Source organism: Homo sapiens, chromosome 12 (genome assembly GCF_000001405.40).
Source record: "Homo sapiens chromosome 12, GRCh38.p14 Primary Assembly".
NCBI classification, from domain to species: domain Eukaryota; kingdom Metazoa; phylum Chordata; class Mammalia; order Primates; family Hominidae; genus Homo; species Homo sapiens.
The window spans coordinates 105,066,398-105,085,389 of NC_000012.12; the positions used below are offsets into that span (position 1 = coordinate 105,066,398).

General features: G+C 42.2%; 1 protein-coding gene and 1 long non-coding RNA gene across 8 annotated transcripts in view, besides 4 other annotated features; one reads left to right on the forward strand and one right to left on the reverse strand.

The window, feature by feature from the left end:
- ALDH1L2 (aldehyde dehydrogenase 1 family member L2) overlaps window positions 1-18,061 on the reverse strand; it is a 64,669-nt gene extending 46,608 nt beyond the window's left edge. For 4 of the 7 annotated variants that reach the window (NM_001034173.4, XM_011537988.4, XM_011537989.4 and 1 more), the window contains exons 1-5: window positions 17,992-18,061; window positions 7,464-7,608; window positions 4,173-4,407; window positions 2,322-2,487; window positions 171-272 (exon numbers count right to left, since the gene is read on the reverse strand). In NM_001034173.4, the coding sequence (NP_001029345.2) occupies window positions 171-272; window positions 2,322-2,487; window positions 4,173-4,407; window positions 7,464-7,608; window positions 17,992-18,039 (696 nt within the window). In that variant the 5' untranslated portion in view covers window positions 18,040-18,061. Of the gene's footprint in view, window positions 1-170; window positions 273-2,321; window positions 2,488-3,797; window positions 3,958-4,172; window positions 4,408-7,463; window positions 7,609-7,935; window positions 7,954-17,991 lie in introns of those variants that run through there. The other 3 variants (NR_027752.2, XM_047428406.1, XM_047428407.1) reach the window with 3 other exon arrangements.
- Window positions 5,955-7,619, forward strand: LOC124903005 (uncharacterized). Its single transcript, XR_007063435.1, has 2 exons — window positions 5,955-6,120; window positions 7,368-7,619. It is a non-coding gene; the product is annotated as an uncharacterized LOC124903005 (long non-coding RNA).
- Window positions 12,554-12,848: a silencer, noted in NCBI's record as "tiled region #9297; HepG2 Repressive non-DNase unmatched - State 23:Low, and K562 Repressive non-DNase unmatched - State 23:Low". NCBI's record gives its function as "represses a minimal TATA promoter and a strong SV40 promoter by Sharpr-MPRA in HepG2 and K562 cells {active_cell/tissue: HepG2 | K562}" and the evidence as "EXISTENCE:reporter gene assay evidence [ECO:0000049][PMID:27701403]".
- Window positions 16,904-17,704: an enhancer, noted in NCBI's record as "H3K27ac-H3K4me1 hESC enhancer chr12:105477079-105477879 (GRCh37/hg19 assembly coordinates)". NCBI's record gives its function as "activates a minimal SCP1, AML or CMV promoter by ChIP-STARR-seq in naive H9 embryonic stem cells {active_cell/tissue: H9 hESC(naive)}" and the evidence as "EXISTENCE:reporter gene assay evidence [ECO:0000049][PMID:30033119]".
- Window positions 17,199-17,438: an enhancer, noted in NCBI's record as "active region_6939". NCBI's record gives its function as "activates an Ori minimal core promoter by ATAC-STARR-seq in GM12878 lymphoblastoid cells {active_cell/tissue: GM12878}" and the evidence as "EXISTENCE:reporter gene assay evidence [ECO:0000049][PMID:35858748]".
- Window positions 17,939-18,368: a silencer, noted in NCBI's record as "silent region_4803". NCBI's record gives its function as "represses an Ori minimal core promoter by ATAC-STARR-seq in GM12878 lymphoblastoid cells {active_cell/tissue: GM12878}" and the evidence as "EXISTENCE:reporter gene assay evidence [ECO:0000049][PMID:35858748]".

An 18,992-nucleotide genomic window follows, 5' to 3' on the forward strand; every position in this document is an offset into this window, starting at 1 on the left:
TTCTTTAGGGGACTCCCCTCTCCTGCGTATGTCTGGCTACCTGTCTACTCTAACAGGTAGGGCTAGGGCAAGCTGGCTTACCTTTTGGCAAGATCATAGTATGTGGGGAACTACTGAAGGGTAGAGGGCCATGAACTCTGAGACGTGTTATTGAGTTGATATATAAATACCTCAGCATTTTCCTTTTTCTGGATACCTTCATATGTTGCCCCTTCTTCTGGCTGGGGTATACGAGGAGCTTTTCCATCAGCTATGAGTTGGACAGCTTCTACCTAAGGCCAAAGACATCACCTGTGTTACAGCCCAATGATCAACAATGGCATGGTCTATTTGACTAAAGTTTCTGCATAACAGAATTACTACCTATAAACCTGTTCAGAGAGTCAAGAGTATGATGATAACTACCATTTCTTCAGGTCCATCCTGACAAGCAGTGTGGTAGCTACTTTATGTAAAATATCCCTTGAAAACATAACACAAATCCTGCAAGGTGTATATTGTTATTCCTGTTTTACACCTGAGGAAACTGACAGAAAAAGAGCTAAGCAAGGCCGGGCGCAGTGGCTCACGCCTGTAATCCCAGCACTTTGGGAGGCCAAGGCAGGCGGATCACGAAGTCAGGAGATCGAGGCCACGGTGAAACCCCGTCTCTACTAAAAATACAAAAAATCAGCCGGGCGTGGTGGTGGGCGCCTGTAGTCCCAGCTACTCAGGAGGCTGAGGCAGGAGAATGGCGTGAACCCGGGAGGCAGAGCTTGCAGTGAGCCGAGATCACACCACTGCACTCCAGCCTGGGCGACAGAGCGAGACTCTGTCTCAAAAAAAAAAAAAAAAAAAAGAAAAGAAAAAGAAAAAGAGCTAAGCAATTGGCTGAAGATCACAGAGAGAGCTTGTAGGTGTCAGAAACAGGATTTGTATCCAGGTCTATCTATTGCCAATCGAAGTCTGCACTCTCAAAAATGACTCCCTTGTTTAAACAAACTGCCACCTCCCTTAGTGATTCACTGGAAATGATAGGAATATAATGATAAAATAAGTCTTTATGAGTTATTTTACTCATCATGATGATTCTAAAAAATGATACCTTACTGTATTTAATGAATTCAACTTGCTTTCTAGTTTAGGAGACCTGGAATAAAAAAAGTTAAAATCTATCCATGAGCTTGATTGCCTTTGGGAGGTGTCCTGCATTTTCTTCTCTGTTATATTTACGTTTGCCTTGAGTCGAGAGCCTCCCATTTTCACTGCGAGGCCCACGTGAGTTCAAGTTCTCAGATTTCTCTCTAAGGACTCACAGCTGCTGACCAACCCACCCAAGAGCACACGGAGGGAGCCACAGGGGAACAGAGCCAAGTTTACAGCTCATTCCACCCACCTCCATCTAGGCTATAACTAGGTCTAGAATCTGGGCTTCAGCAAATATCACTGAACACACAAAATGCTATGTTGATTGTAATGATCATTTTATGAGCACCTACCATGGGCCAGATGCTTTGCACAAATAGTGTCACTTAATTTCCACAACCACCCTACAAGTCAGGTGGTATTATCCATGCTGTATAGATGAAGAAACCAAAGCTACAGAGGCTAAGCGACTTGCCTGTGGTCATGCAACAAAGAAGAGGTAGAATGGAAACTTGAGCTTAGGTCTTTCTGACATCGAAGCCCTACTCTCTTAATCATTGAATGATACAAGCAAAGCACTGCTTTCCTCTCTCCTAAATCAATGGCTACTACTGTATATAATCTTGCTACTTCTTTCATACTAGCTCTGAAAAAAAATTAAATGACATCAAAATTATCAGCTGGAGCTTTCACTATTTGTGTAGGCTAATATTGCAATATTTTTATTTGATGGTATACATGTTTTGGGATTTTTTTTTTTTTACCCCAGAATACGTCTGGATAAATACAGCAACACCAAATTTCACCCTGTTACAGAGGCTAATTTAAAGTACTTTTAAATTTCCATAACAAATTACGTAGCAAAATTTCTTAAGATTCAATCTACTTCTTTACAATTAATCATTATAGGCAGGGTTGAAGATTCAAGCATTTGGCAAAAGAATGGAGCAGTTTAAATGCTACTGCATCCATTGGATCACTGCTCTCAGAAAAATAAGTCAGTTTCATAGACTAAGAAATTGAAAAATTCAGATTTCCATCCTAAATATACCATCCCATTAGTTAAAAAAAATCTAATTTTGTTTTTAAACTTTATATTTTTGGTGAAAATTCATATGGATAATTTCTTCATAAAAGAAAAAATATTTTCAAAACTTTAAAGGTTTACTAAATTCTGGGTGGCAAAATATACTAACCATGGCCTTGATTCCTTCAGGAAAAAGAAACCGATTATAAAGTGCATCCACTGTATCATTGGGTTCAACATCACATGATCTCTGAAGAAGGATGGGTCCTGTATCCAAGCCATCATCAGCCCAGAAAACAGAAAACCCAGCTTTCTTATCTCCCATAATTAGAGTCCTGTGAAAAGAAGAATTTCAATTTAAAATGTTGGTTAACTGTATCATAAAGTGATGAATTAGTGATATTAAAGTATAAGATAGTTATAATGGAAAAGTAGACAATGAATGAAGCTACCATGAGAAATTAACAGTAGAACTGGGAGACGTCAGGGCTCATAAAAAGCAGTGCCTAATGGTACTGCTATTTTATATAATACATCCTCATATCTTGTCTTTCTTGTTAATGTACAGTAATGACTTGCAGTGAATTTAAAAAGGCATTAGAGTCTATCGTTACTACCACTCATTGACTCCCAGGGATCAGTTTTCTACTTCAAGATCAAGTAATTTGCCCACCTGGGTCCAATTCCTACATCGTATTTGACCCTGTATTAGGCGGAATAAGAACAGAAGATAAAATAGGATACTCTGTGAAGGACAGAATGTGAAACTAATGTGAAGGACAGAGCTGATTATTAATTCAAGCTAATACAGAGGGAGTATGATGGTAGGTCAGCCATGTAATAATGTAAATATTTTTTACTTTTGAGCTACAAATCAAGACCTAAATCAATCCATCAATCACTAACTCTTCAGAAATACTAAGAAATTGACTGGCATTGCTATCAAGATCCTTGAAAATATTCATGTGCTTTGATCCAATGATTCTGCATGTGGAAACAGTGTAAATTGAGAAAAAGTACAAGTCTAAGTGCAAATATGTCTACTAAATAATAGTGTGTTATTTATAAGAGCCAAAAAGAAATCAATCCATGTCATCAAAGTTTAAATACAATTAATATTTTTCATCACATTTAAACCAAGTGTAGGCTTCCAGCTTATTCCAATGACTTGACACTGAGGAATATTAGGAAAATGTGCAGGTAAAGGAGAGAAGGCAGAAAGGGTAGGAAGGCCCACCTCAACCCACAGTATTGTGTCCCTATGGTATTAGGTACCTACAATGTACCAGCCACTGTTTCTGACACTGGAAAATAGCAATACAAATGTTGTGCAAAGTCCCTTTCCTTAAGAAGCTTAGAGTTGAATGGGGAAGATGGACAGTGAAGATGATCATTTCATCATTTCAAGTAATTACTTGATGATTATTTCAAGTAATTCAGCATTTCCTGAAATGTACTTGAGATGCTCTATGCAAAAAAAAAGTTCTGTGGTCAAATAAGTTTGGGAACATTGTGTATTCAGACTCCCTCTAGGGGATTATGATACTGACATTAAAGCCCGTATTAATAGCTCAAATGAATCCTGCAATTAAAAATCCGGCATAAACCAAACTTACTGACCATAAAACCTTTGTTTGCTCAATACCTAGTAACAGTCAATGGAGCTAGTACTCCATAGGCTATTCTTGGTAAATGCTGTCCTGGTTCACGCTGTATGTCTAGATCTCAGGGGAGTTCATGCAACAGTAGTAACCAATCAGGACCTCACAACTGTTCAAGCATGCCTAGTTTCTTGTCTTGATCACCTAGGTAAAAAACAGAAAGAATATAGGCAATTGAAATACACTCACCCTCTGTGTAATTAAAAAAGTCTCACTGGGTGTTCTGGCACAATCCTGAAATCTCAGCTACTTGGGAGGCTGAGGCAGAAGGATCATTTGAGCCCAGGAGTTTGAACCCAGACTGGGCAACATAGCAAGACCCCATCTCAAAAAAAAAAAGTAAAAAGAAAAAATCTCACCAATTGATAGCAGAGGCTCCTCTGTGCCTGGGCAGGATGGATGGGTGATAAATGATAGAGCCGTGCTTTGGACTATCAATTATATCCATGGGAATGAACTGAGTGCAGAAAGGGAGCACATTTAGCTCTGCACCCACGGATCTGTAGGCTTCTGCCACTTCTTTGATGGTCTTGCCCTTGACCCTCCATTTAGGAAGCTTGAACACAGGGGTCCCATCTTTCTCTGCAGCCAAAGCTGAGCATAAAAAAGAAGATTTTTTTTTTAGAAGTTAGCCATAATTTTACATCACTATGAATTCATATGTTGTAATTTTACAGTTTCATGAAATATTTACAAATAAAACATGGTGAAGAACAATTTAGATTGTGACTAGAATTTCACCTGTTGTAATTGGATCACACTAAGGTGATACATATCTATATACTTAAGGCATAATAAATTAGAACTGAAAAGTTTTTGGCTAGATGATATTTTAAGATTTTAATGAAAGCTTTTTCTTTTTTAGATCAAAAATGGTACCTTTATTACTGATACAACATTTTAAGAACATAGCTTTAGATTTGGAGGCATGTGCCAATACTTCACCCACCAATTTAACATACTCACCTCTGGCACAGCTAGAAAGCCATGAAACTCTTCCCTCCCTATACTGAACACATCGTAGACCAGAACACATTCTCCCTGCCAAACAGGCAGATCCCAAAAGATGAAGAGCGTAAGTGCTGAGCTGAGCTTTTCTACTTCCTTCTCCCAAATTCACCAAACAAATAAATTAACAAAGGTGAGAGGCCAAGGAGAATACATGCTCAGCTCCTGCTAAGGGGTTTGGCCTCACTAAGCAGACCAGGGTCTCCTTCCTGAGAAGAGCGCTGTCCCCTCCCAAACAAATGGCTCCATCCTAATGCCATATGAAAATGGAATGGCCCACCAAAGTGCAAACAGCACACGCCTATTTTTTTCATAATGAAATGTCATTTTTACTGTGTGCCTTATATCTTAAGTATTTATATATATATTTAAGTACACAGTTTTATATATAAGTAGTATATATATATATATATATATATATATATTTTTTTTTTTTTTTTTTTTTTTTTTTTTTGTGAGACGGAGTCTCGCTCTTTCGCCCAGGCCGGACTGCAGTGGTGCTATCTCAGCTCACTGCAAGCCCCGCCTCCCGGGTTCATGCCATTCTCCAGCCTCAGCCTCCCGAGTAGTATATATTTAAAAAATCGGTCAGGCACAGTGGCTCACACCTGTAATCCCAGCACTTTGAGAGACCAAGGCAGGAGGACTGCTTAAACTCAGGAGTTTGAGACCAGCGTGGACAACATAATGAGACCTCCATCTCTACCAAAAAAACAAAAATTATTTTTAAATTAGCTGGATGTGGTGGCACATACCTATAATCCTAGCTACTTAGGAGGATCACTTGAGCCCAGGTGTTCCAGGTTGCAGTAAGCTATTATCGTGCCACTACGCTCCAGCCTGGGCAACGAAGTGAGACCCTTTCTCTAAAAAAATGTGTTTAAGTGTATAAAATATATATACATACTATTATTAATATATAATTGTATATATTAATAAATTATAGAAATTATGATATCTATTAATATCCTATATGATATATACATTTTATAATATATTATTATATATTACTTGTATAATATAATAGTATATATATTTAATATATAATAGCATATATGTTAATTTTAGGCAATTTCCAGAAGTCTTAACTAAAGCTTTCTATCTGCATTTTTGTGTCCCTTTCCTTTTTCCTAGATCTGAACAACAAAATTCATTGACTTAGGATGAGATGATGCCTCCACCATGAAACCTAAATTCTGAAGCCTGAGGAAGTCCTGAAGGACCCCAGCCATCACGATTAGCCCCTGATCAATCCGTTTGGAAGAATCTGAGAGACCAGCACAATAGTGTTCACAAAATGTGAGTGTTCATAAGATGTTCAAAAAACTTAACTCATATGTCAGATGACAGGAAAGTGGATAAACGGTGGTTAAAAAAAATGTGATCATGAGAGAAAATTGTGAAAGATCATATGGCAAAGAAAAATGGGGTGGAGGAAACTTAGAAGTCTTCATTGTAAAAAAATGTACTCCAGGCAGGGCGTGGTGGCTCATGCCTGTAATCCCAGCACTTTGGGAGGCCAAGGTGGGCGGATCACCTGAGAGCAGGAGTTCAAGACCAGCCTGGCCAACATGGTGAAACCATGTCTCTACTAAAAATACAAAAATTAGCCGGGTATGATGGTGGGTGCCTGTAATCCCAGCTACTCGGGAGGCTGAGGCAGGAGAATTGCTTGAACCTGGGAGGTGGAGGTTGCAGTGAGCCGAGGTCGTGCCACTGCACTCCAGCCTGGGCAACAGAGTTAGACTCTGTCTCAAAAAAGAAAAAAGTACTCTGCTGAGACAGGCTGAGACATCCAGGTGTTGAGCTTCCGTTTCAGTTTTTGGCTGCCCCAGAGCTATCTTTGACTGTCCTCATTGAATATTCTAACAAGAATACTCAACTACTGTCAATGCTTCCTTATTATGAACCAGGCATAGTGTGAGCACTTTGTGTACATTAATCTAATTTAATCCTCATAGCAGCCACGTGAGGTAGCTACCGCTGAACTGAGGCTTAGTAAGATTAAGTAACTTGCCCAAGGTCATACAGCTAGTAAGTGGCAGAATCAGAATTCACTCCTTGATTCCAGAACACACGCTGTTACCCACATGCTGTACCCACTTCCTCATATAGTTACTCTATAAGTGAGGTTGGTAGTTTTTCTTTTTCTGAGTTATGCCATGAGCCCAAATGGCCATGACAAATGGAAAGGGGGTCCTGACCCTGGGACCAGGCACTAAGGAAGAGTTCATTTCCCAGGATTCATTCTGAAAGGAGGTCTAAAAGTCATATGCTTGCAATCCTTCTGAAGTCCACGTATATGGCAGAGACTGCTAGTTGTCCCCCTTCATCCTTTAGCAATGGATTCCCTAGTTTAGCTGAATGCATAGCCACCCCAAATCAAATCTATATTTCTCAGTCACTCTTGCAAATAGATTTGGCCTGTGACTAAGTTCTGGCCAATGGGATACAAGTGGGAGTAATATGGATTATGCCCTTAATAAAAAGCTTTTCCCTGATTCCCACTCTTTTCCTTCCTGCTTGCTGGAATGGCGCTGTGATAGTAGGGGCTGAGGCAGCTACCTTGGACCATGAGATGGAAGTCCAGCATTGGTAAGGACCTGAGAATTCTTGACCCAGTCATCCCAAGATGCACTCACCCAGAGGGTCAGCTTTTCCATCCTTGTCTGGAACTGTGAACACCCCTACTACTCGGTGGCCCTCTTTGCGGAGGTGGCTATAGACTTCTTGTCCAAAGAGGCTCTGGCCAATTAGTGCCAACTTCAGCTTGTTTTTGAAATAAACCTGTGAAACAATTCAATGACGAAGACATAAGCATGGATAGAAGACACTGGATGAGGGTGAGGGTTAAAAAAGATAGCTATTGGGTACGATGTTCACTCTTTGGGTATCAGGTACACCAAAAGCCCAGACTTCACCACTACTCAATATATGCATGTAAGAAACCTACCCTTGGCCGGGCACGGTGGCTCACGCTTATAATCCCAGCACTTTGGGAGGCCGAGGTGGGCGGATCACCTGAGGTCAGGAGTTTGAAACCAGCCTAGCCAACATGGCGAAACCCTGTCTCTACTAAAAATACAAAAATTAGCCAGACGTGCTGGCACACACCTGTAATCCCAGCTACTCAGGAGGCTGAGGCAGGAGAATCTCTTGAACCCGGGAGGCAGAGGTTGCAGTGAGCCGAGATCACACCACAGCACTCCAGTCTGAGTGACAGAGCAAGACTCTGTCTCCAAAAAAAAAAAAAAAAAAAAAAAAAGAAAAGAAAAAGAAAGAAAGAAAGAGGGTAATCAGAGGGTCATGACTTCCTATGAGCTTCCTCTCTTGGCAGTGCCTCCGCAGAACTCTCTCTACTTTACATTCTTCCATGTTAGCATGTGGCTCCACGGGGATCTGAACTTAGGATGTTTATCCCCCTCCAATCTAAATGGGATTCGCTAATGTTCTGGCAAGTAATTCTAAATTAGTAAAGCCTCACTGAGAAACTCTGTTTTTGAAGAAATTTAATTTTCCCTTATTTCCCACTTTATTAGAGGCATACATAACATCCTGTTTTTAGGAATGGACTTAAAAGGATACCAGATCACAACTTCCCTGTAATTGAGCAGATAATAAAACAAAGTTTTAACTAATTTAACTAATTAAAAAAACATCCTAGGGTCAGCCAAACTTTCTATCCCCAAAGAACCTAAGTAAGCTTCAACAAATACTTGCAAACAAACAGATTAACTCTGTAACAACAGCAAATTCACCTGCAGATAATGCATGGCTGACCATTTAATTTCCTCTTCTCAAAAAAATCAAATGTCCTATATGCTATCTTCAAATCCTATAACTAATGCTGTTGCTTGAAATAGAATCTACATGTTTGCCACCTTACAAAAATTTTGGCTTTACCACTTACCATTACCAATGCCAGATATTCAAGACATCTAAAATACTACTTTTCAAACACCCAAGAGCCAAGAGACTGAGATGACTCAAATGTAATGTGCCGCTCGGCTGTCGTCTGGTTATTTGGAGTTCAATTCCAGATTCAGTCCTCTCTGAGAAAGACAGTATTTAAAGAAGCCATGTTGGCCGGGCGCGGTGGCTCACGCCTGTAATCCCAGCACTTTGGGAGGCTGAGGCGGGTGAATCACCTGAGGTCGGGAGTTCAAGACCAGCCTGACCAACATGGAGAAACCCTGTCTCTACTAAAAATACAAAAATTAGCCGGGTATGGTGGCAGGCATCTGTAATCCCAGCTACTCGGGAGGCTGAGGTAGGAAAATTGCTTGAACCCGGGAGATAGAGGTTGCAGTGAGCTGAGATCGCACCATTGCACTCCAGCCTGGGCAACAAGAGTGAAACTCTGTCCACACCCCGCCCCCGCAAAAAAAGAAACCATGTCAGTATCTTTGGAAACACTACATTCATTGAAACACTTTCTGAGCTTTACACTGAAGCTGAAGCTATAAAGGTGAGTTTCTAACACTGAGAAGTTTTCAGATTTCATGACTATAAATATGTTTATAATGAGTTAGCAAGATTCCAGAAAATTGGACTGATATATTTTACTTTATTTATTTATTTTGAGACAGGGTTTCACTCCATGGTCACCCAGGCTGGAGTGAAGTGGTGCAATCTCGGCTCACTGCAGCCTCCGCCTCCCGGGTTCAAGTGAATCTTGTGCTTCAACCTCCCTAGTAGCTGGGATTACAGGCACACACCACCATGCCCAGCTAATTTTTGTATTTTTAGTAGAGACAGGGTTTCACCATGTTGGCCAGGCTGGTCTCAAACTCCTGACCTCAGGTGATCTACCTGCCTTGGCCTCCCAAAGTGCCAGGATTACAGGCTATTTTACTTCAGTCTTATTTCTCCAGGTGTGGTGCCTGCCTGTATTGGCAGAAGTAACTGGGAGAACATGTTTAAAATGTGGATTCCTGGGCCCTACTTCAGATCTACTGACTCAGAATCTTAAGCCCAGGAAGCTGCATTTTAACAAACTCTTCAGTGACTCAGAAGTACATGGAAGTCTGAGAATCTCTGCTCTGTGGAGAGTGGTATGTCTGCCCACAAGAACAAGATTCTGCCCTGGGGAGTTTCGGTCAGGAAGAAATGGTGGAAATAAGAGCAAACATTTTAATGAGACCCTAGTTTGGGCCAAGTATTTCACATTATTATCTCATTTGATTGCACAATGACTCCTGGAGACAGGCATTATTAACCCACTTTAGGGATAAAGAAATTAAAGACAGAGAGGTTAAGTAGCCAGGAGTCAAATAGCTGCTAAGAGGCAGCCCTGAGATTCCAACTCTGTTTATTATCCTAGTGCCTATTGTTTTTTCATACACCAGCTGTGCAGTCTTGAACTGGGCTTTATTTTCCATCATCAATTAAAATCAGAATAGTAATAGTACCTATCTCATAAGGTTGTTATAAGGATTCAATGGGATAAAGTGTGTAATGCATTAGCACAGTGCATGGCAATAGTAAATGCTCAGTAAATGTTACCTATTATTATTATCATACCATAAGCAATACCTAGGTACCTACAAATAATGATAATAGATATTTCCTATTGGAAATATACCATGAGCCAAACACTATGTTGAGCCCTTTTCATTAATTCAAAAAGTATTTATCAAATGCTTATTATACATCTTTAATCCCCCCAGTGACCCATTTTGCAAATGAGAAAACAAAGGGGTCAGAAAGTTAAGTAACCTGCCCAAGGGCAGAGCTAATAAGGGTCCAGGGCAGGATTCAAACCTGGATCTGTCTTACTTTAGCAGATGTGTTTCTAAGGCTTTCCTATGCTGAAAGTTCCCCTCCTACTTTAGAAAAAGAAAAACATAGCAACAGTTTGACAGGTCAATTGGGAATAGTTCCATCAGCCTGTTTAAGGAAATGCCACAGTGGAAGTGACGTGGGAGACAGCACCATTCTTTAACCGGCTCTCACTATAGGTGTCTGTCGCATTAGTGAGAAAGGGCATAAAATGACACACAGTCATTTCCAAATCTGGATGATAAGTTCTATAATCTAATCTTGTTTCTTTTTTCTTTTTTTTTTTTTTGAGACAGAGTCTCACTGTGTCACCTAGGCTTGAGTGCAATGGCGCCATCTCGGCTCACTGCAACCTCCGCCTTCCGGGTTCAAGCAATTCTCCTGCCTCAGCCTCCCAAGTAACTGGGATTACAGGCGCACGCCGTCATGCCCAGCTAATTTTTTTTTTTTTTTAATTTTAGTAGAGATGGGGTTTCATCGTGTTGCCCAGGCTGGTCTCAAATTCCCGAGCTCAGGCACTCCACCCGCCTTGGCATCCCAAAGTGCTAGGATTACAGGCGTGAGCCACCACGCCCGACCTTGTTTCTTTAGAGAGAACATTCTTCACTAGAGGAGACTTTTGCAGGGAGCAGAGCCTTTGCTTTCCAAATTGTCAAATAATGCATTCCCAGGCTGTCCACCCTCTGGTGGAATTCTTCAGGAAGCAAGTTAATACAGACCCTGACTATGCTCCAAGAATTAAAAAAAAAAAAAAAAAAAGGTACACATAGCTTTCCAAAGAAAACTTCAAGGCACAGTGCGAAGAGTCTGCCCTGATCTGAAGCCCTTTGGCCAGATGCTAATAGAACCATCTGGGCAGGGTGTAAAGTAAGGCCAAAGCTATCCAAGTAAGAATTGGCAGTTTCACACAGAGGACCTTCACACAAAAGAATAAAACAAAGTACATTTTCCTGAGACCCTGAGGTGCCTAACACTTCATGGAGCATCCGGCACAGAGTGCCCCAAACTGTGCCTGACTCTGTGCAAGACTCATCCAACAAGCATGTTTTCAGGCTTTGCCACACTCTGGGCGTAGTGCATGGTAGAGGTGGCACATTACTGGCCTGGCAGGGGTGTTTTATTTGGCCCACAAAGCATTTTTAAGAGGACTCTGTTAAGATTTTTAGGAGGTTGCACCTCAGAAGGCACAACTTCTAACTTGTCTTTAAAACTCAGGAGGTTTGGCTGGGTGCCGATCACCTGAGGTCAGGAGTTCAAGACCAGCCTGGCCAACATGGTGAAATCCCATCTTTATGAAAAGTACAAAAAAATTAGCTGGGCATGGTGGCGCGTGCCTGTATTCCCAGCTACTCAGGAGGCTGAGGCAGGAGGATCGCTTGAACCCGGGAGGCAGAAGTTGCTGTGAGCTGAGATCGCGCCATTGCACTCCAGCCTGGGCGACAGAGCAAGACTCTGTCTCAAAAAACAAAAATCAAAAAAACTCAGGAGGTTTGTCAACCCTGGTCTGTGGCGCCGTATAGCAACAGTCAGCTAGCGCTGAGCAGTGGTGGCCCCTTTACCCTAGACATGGTCTTGCCCTCTATGCAGCTCAAATCTCTCATTTGCTTTACCTGTTTGGCCTCTGTGGGAATTTCTCTTTGCGACCCTTACACTAAAGATAAAAAGAAGCAGTCCCTGTACTCGGGAATCCACCAACTAGTAGGGAGGGCACACAAGCTAAGACATAGTAACAGTGCTAGAATAAGAGAGCACAGTTTGGTTAAGAGACGAGAAGCCTTCTCCAGAAGGGAGTTACTTAGCTGAATCTTAGAGAATCCATCTTGGGAGTTGGCAGAGAAAAGGGAGAGGCTTGGGAAGTTCCAGGCAGAGGGTGCGGTATTTACAAAGAAACAAATGCATGTGCACAGCGTGTCCAATACTGGGAGTTAAGGAGTGGTGACAAGCGACACCGTAGCAAGAGACATTATGGAGCGCTTTGTGTCAAATAATTGGGACCTTATTGTGAAGACAATGAGATTCACTGAGCCGCTTTAAGCAGGAGAGTTAATTGAAACCAGGAGAGTCTAGTTTCTATGCTAATAGACTGCTTAGGTAACTCTGGAGGCATGAACTAGCTCCGGGTAGACACACCTCTTGTGTTGAGAATGGAGCAGAGCGTGAAAATCAAAGCTGACCTAGCAATCCACCTGTAGCATAGTCACAGGATATAGTCTGGAATAGTGTGAAAGCTCTTGCAACCAATTGTAACAAACTCTCATACTAACAGAAGCAACAAGTACACTTTACATAGAGGTAGATCTGCAAGATTCAGGATACCATCCTAAATGGCAAGCTTGCGCAACTTGATGTTCCTATTGCCTCATTATATAAAGAAGATATCAGTGAGGGCTTTCTTGGATGTCTGGCCAACTTTTGTTTTTTCATCATAAAAAGGATAAAATATTTTAAAAGGAGGGATGTCAGTACAGGGGCCTATGAGCAGGTGATGCCAGAGGGGGATGCCCAGGACTCAGAGGCTGGAGAGAGCTCCTGGGCCGAGGCTGGTGACCACAGAACACTTCAAAGACTTTGAGTAAAGGGAGAGACAGTCCAAAGGGCTCGAGTCCAGAAACGGACTCCAGTACTAGAGAGGCAGGATTTCCATGCACAGAATTTACTATAATATTTTAATTGTATAAAATTTTTAAAATTAATTTTTAATTATACATATTACATATACACACAAGCTCCTTACGAAAAGAAAAGATCACAGATAAGACTACAGTCCCTTTTGACCATCACTCCCAATCTGCATCCCCTTCTCACTCCCCAGAGGAAACTACTATTGTTTGGTGTGAATTCTACAGACCTTTCCTAGGCATTTAAAAACATGGAAATATATACAAAAAGTATTGTTTTGTATTTCCAAAAATAATTCAAATGAAATAATATTATGCGTAATGTTCCACAACTTTCCTTGTTCGTACATATAATTCATTCTTTGAAATTCTTGCACAGTATTCCTTAGTGTAGCTATATCTCAGTTTATTTGTTCATGTCCCTATTGAGAAACATTTTGGCTTTCAATATGTCATTATTACAAATACCATGGCAATGAATATCATGGTACATGCTTCCTGTGCCCATGTAGAAGTATTTTTCTCAGATACCTACAAGTGAAACTGCAGGATCATTTTTAAACATAAATTTAATTTAAATATGTAGCATCAAATTGACCTCTAGAGTAGTGGATGAACTGTTTTCTCACCCCTGCTAAACACACAATATCGTCAAATTTATGATTTTTGCCACCCTGATGAGTGAAAAATGGTATCTTGTTCTAAGTTGCATTTGCCTGATTACTAGTTTGGTTGAGTGTATTTTCATATTTTATTGCTCATTTATATTTCATTTTTGGTATATCATTTTAGTTAGTGTATTATGTATTATTATTCTTTTCCTAAAAACATAGATTTAATAGTCTGTCCCACTAATCTATGAACTCCTTGAAAATGGGACTATTTCTTTCTTGTTTATTGTTTTATCTTTTGGGTTATGAGAGTCTGAAAAAGTTAGTTCACTTCTGGGTCTCAGTTTTCTTATCAGCAAAATGGTCATAATAATCTAGGTTGAGAATCCCTTATCCAAAATGCTTGGAACCAGAAGTGTTTCAGATTTCGGATATTTTCAGACTTTGGAATGTTTGCATTATACTTACCATTGGAGCATCCCAAATCTGAAAATCTGAAATCCAAAATGCTGTAATGATCATTACCTTTGAGTGTCATGTCAGTGCTCAAAAATGTTCAGATTTTAAAGCATTTCAGATTTCAAATGTTCAGATTTGGGATGCTTAACCTAGTACCTACTTCATTGAGATATCATGAGGATTAAAGGAGTACACAGTCGCCCTCTGTATTTGTGGGTTCTGTATCCGTGGATTCAACCAACCATGAATCGAAAACATTTGGAAAAAATTGCATCTGTACTAGACATGTATAATTTTTCTTGTCATTATTCCATAAACAATACAGTGGGACAATTATTTACATAGCATCTACTTTGTATTCATTATTATAAGTTATCTACGGATGATTTAAAGTATACAGGAGAATATGCACAGGTTATATACAAATATTACCCGTTTTATATAAGGGACTTGAACATCTTCAGATTTTGATATCCACGGGAGGTCCTGAAACCAATCCCCTATGAATACAAGGGACAACAAGGGACAATTGTATATGTAAAGCATTTATTAATGCATCTATTAATATTATATCCTCAGGATTTAGAGTCCTCAGTGTATAACAGACAATTAAATACAGTTTAAAGCTGAATTTGGAGATCCTATGAACAGATAAGACACCAGAGCAGAGGTCGGGCAATGATGAAACAAGAACCTGGTTCCTAGAACTGAGAAATAAAGCAGGTACTTGGTTCCAAAGAGCAAGGAAGGGTCCCACCTCTTTGGACTGGATCATAAGGTAACCTCAAGTTACCTGGAGCCAGGCTATAAACCCAGAGCTACCAGACAGACCTGACCCAGACACTGGCAGAGAAAGCTAAACAAAGGAATGTCAATGAATAGAGGGCTAAATAACTCCTACCACAGGGAGAAGAAGCAGTGAGCCAGGCAGGATATCAGAGGTGGGCAATAATATCTAATTGACAAAGGGTTTTAAAGCAAACCATTGTTTTAGTTAAAAAGATCCAGCCATCACTAAGCTGAAATCATTAAGTATTTCTAAGTCCTTTTATTTAAGACAGAGGATGGAGAAATGAATTCTATCAAGAAGTGTTATAAACTAATTTTCCCCTTGGATTTTGCTAGGTTCTGAAAGCTTTATTTTTATTCATCCTTCATTCTGCTTTAATACTAAACTTAAAAGCATTGTTTGATTTTTAAATTTTAAAGATAAAGGGATAATTAGGCCGGGCACAGTGGCTCATGCCTGTAATCCCAACACTTTAGGAGGCCGAGGCAGGAGGATCACTTGAGGCCAGGAGTTCAAGACCAGCCTGGCCAACATGGCAAAACCTCGTCTCTACTAAAAATACAAAAATTAGCTGGGCATGGTGGTGCATGTCTGTAATCCCAGCTACTCAAAAGGCTGAGGCAGGAGAATTGCTTGAACCCCGGAGGCAGAGGTAGCAGTGAGTCAAGATTGTGCCACTGCGTTCCAGCCTGAGTGACAAAGTGAGACTCTGTCTCAAAACAATAAAAATTAAAAGATAATTTGCATGGGTAAAATGCACCCTCTTCAGTGTACTGTGCTGTGAGTTTTAACAAACACACAGTCACGTAACCACTACCATAATCAAGATGTAGAACAGTTCCATTACCGCCCAAATTCCTTTATGCCTATTTATAATCAATCCTTCCTCCTATCTCCAGCTCCAGACATCACTGATCTTTTTTCTGTCCCTATAGTTTTACTCTTCCAAAATGTCAGATAAATGAAATCATAAAATATGTAGCATTATGAGTCTGATTCTTACACTTAGCATACATATTTGAGTTCCATCCATGTTGTATGCATCAGTAGTTCATTCCTTTTTCCCCCAACTGAGTAGAATTCCATTGTATGGATGGATATACCACAGCTTGTTTATCCTGTCACCAGCTGAGGACAATTTATTTCCAGTTTTTGGCAATTATGAATAAAACCTCTAGAAACATCAATAAACAGGTTTCTATGCGGGCAAATAAGGTTTCATTTCTTTTGAGTAAATACCTAGGAGTGTGATTCCGGGGTCATATGATAGGTTTATGTTTAACTACATATAAAACTGCCAAACAGTTTTCCAAAGTGGCTGTACCATTTTATATTTCCACCAGCCATGTATCTGTTTGATTTTGAATAATTCTTATAAAACACAGTCCAGAACATTTTCTACAGGATAAAACATCCCACATTTTTCATTCACCACTCAGTAGCTTCCTTTCGACCACTGAGGAAACTGTCTTCTTCCCAGCCATGAGTATCACTGCTTTTCCATATGCACCCCTGCGTACAGTTAGACCCTGATCACGCCAGTTCTTCCCCACATCCATAGTTTTGTTTATGCCATTTGCCACCTGAGATGTTTACCTTTTATTACTGAAATCTTATGCAAACCGCACTATCAAAATCTTTTCATTCTGCAAGACTTCCTTCTGGTCACCAAAAAAGACAAGTCAGTGAAAGGTGTTGACAGAGGAGGCCAACAAAACAGGCTCAGGCATTGGGCACAGCCCGTTGCTTTCTGTGCTATCCATCTGGGATCCCATGTGCCACGTGGTGGGGGAAGCTAATGAGGGGTCCAGGAGAGCAGGCCAAAGTCCTAGCAGAGCAGGTCTTCCCCACCCCCACCCCTCGTTTTATAAAAGGTGACTATACCTCAAAGTAACTAGAACTGGTTGCAAAGAGTAAAACGAATTCTTATTATTTGGGGTTGTCTGGGATACAGAAAGCTTTTCCTTTGATGCAAGTTTGGGCCAGTTTTTGGTGCTACTCAAGACTTCTCTCTGCCTCCAAGTTTTTTACATCTGAATATATACATATGTACATATGGCTTTGGCATGGCCGAGAAAAAGAATCGATAAGCAAATTCTTTTATGTACTTCCTATAAAAGATACGATACATAAGACAGTTTTTATTTTTTTTTTTTCTCTCTCTCTCTTCCCTAAACAGTCCCGAGGCCCCCTGGGTGCTGAAGGCAGCACCGCAGTGCAACGTGTCCTCTCTCGGTTCCATTTCTGGAGGAGCTGATGCAATTCCAAGGCGCGGGGCTGGGCCAGAGCTCGGTTCTTGTGCTACAGTAGAATAGTGTTCCAGCGTGGCTGCCTCTGCAGCGCCTGGCAATTCTAGAAATTTTGCCATCTGCAGCTCAGCTCAGGAATACTGAGCTTGCAGCCATCAGCTTTGAGTGCCATTATCTGAACCGGCCCTGCGTGCCAGTCTCGAGCGCTTACACCTCCCAGGCCGCCAACGAGGACCCTATTGACTTGATACTCCCCTCCTCCAGGAGACAGTCTCGGTTCCATATGGCTCCAGCTCTTGACCAGGGATCTCATGATTGAAGTGAAAAAGGAAAGGAAGCAGACTCTGTCCTCCTTACCAAGTGACTGTTCCCACCTTGCCATCCCAGCCAGACTTGACACGTCCAAAAACTGCATCCTCAGCCCCCTCCCGGCAGAAGACAATGGCCTGCGTGCCAGTTCCCATCCGGGACCCTCCCCAAGCCCTCCTCTGAGGTCTCTCTGTTTTTGTTTGTTTGTTTGTTTGTTTTAAACGCTGTCTTGGTGTTTAGCAAAGTCTAAGCATCGCTGCTCATCCCCAGCCCCACCGCCCCGGCCCTCCCGCCCCGGAGTCTGGAAACCAGGACAGGGTGACAGCCGGGACGCTCGCCCGGGCCGGACTCACCCGGCCAGTGGAGAAGCGCCGGAGCGCCTGGCTGCCCCGCCGCAGCATGCTGGAGAGGAGCGCTAGCACTGGCGACGCGGCAGCGCGGGAGGCAGGCGGGCGGCGCAGCCTGGGCGCGGCCTGGGCGCGGCCTGCAGTCTGGATGCCCCGGACTGCCTGGCTCGCGGCTCGCCGCTCTCGGCCTCTGCTAGTCCGCACCCCTCCCAAAGCCCACAGCCCGCGGCCCGCCCCACCCTACCAGCTGCAAGGCCCCGCCCCCTAGCTGTCAAGACCCCGCCCCCAGCTGGAAGGCCCCGCCCCGCCAGCTGGCTGCGTTCGGACAGCCAACCTGGTGCGACCCGGCGGAGCGCGTGGGCTTCCTGGAGCCTGTGGGCCCTGACCCTGGTGCCAAGAGCGCACCCAGTCCCAGGGACCGCGCCTCTCCGCTGCCTGGACTTTCCGCCAATTCCAGCCAAGGTCCAGGTGCTTTCTAACTGTGGGACCCTCTACCAGTTACTCAGCCCCGCAGCAGTGTATACGGATCTACCTTATTAGTGGTCAATCTGACATCCCAAGTGCTGTCCATAGCACAGCCCGTAAAAGGCACGCCTGTAGACAGATAGGTAGTGGGGGCGCCTTCGCTGTGGAGGGATCCTGATGCCTACCTCGTAGGACGGTAGGCCGGGCGCGGTGGCTCCCGCCTGTAATCCCAGCACTTTGGGAGGCCGAGGAGGGAAGATGGCCTGAGCTCAGGAGTTCGAGACCAGCCTGGCCACCATGGTGAAACCCCGTCTCTACTAAAAATAAAAAATAATAAAATAATAAAATAATTAGCCGGGCGTGATGTCGCATGCCTGCAGTCCCAGCTACTCGGGAGGCTGAAGCACGAGGATCACTTGAGCCGGGGAGGCGGAGGTTGCAGTGGAGCTGAGATCATGCCACTGCACTTCAGCCTGGACAACAGAGCGAGACTCTGTCTTAAAAATAAATAAATAAATTGGTGCAAAAGTAATTGTGGTTTT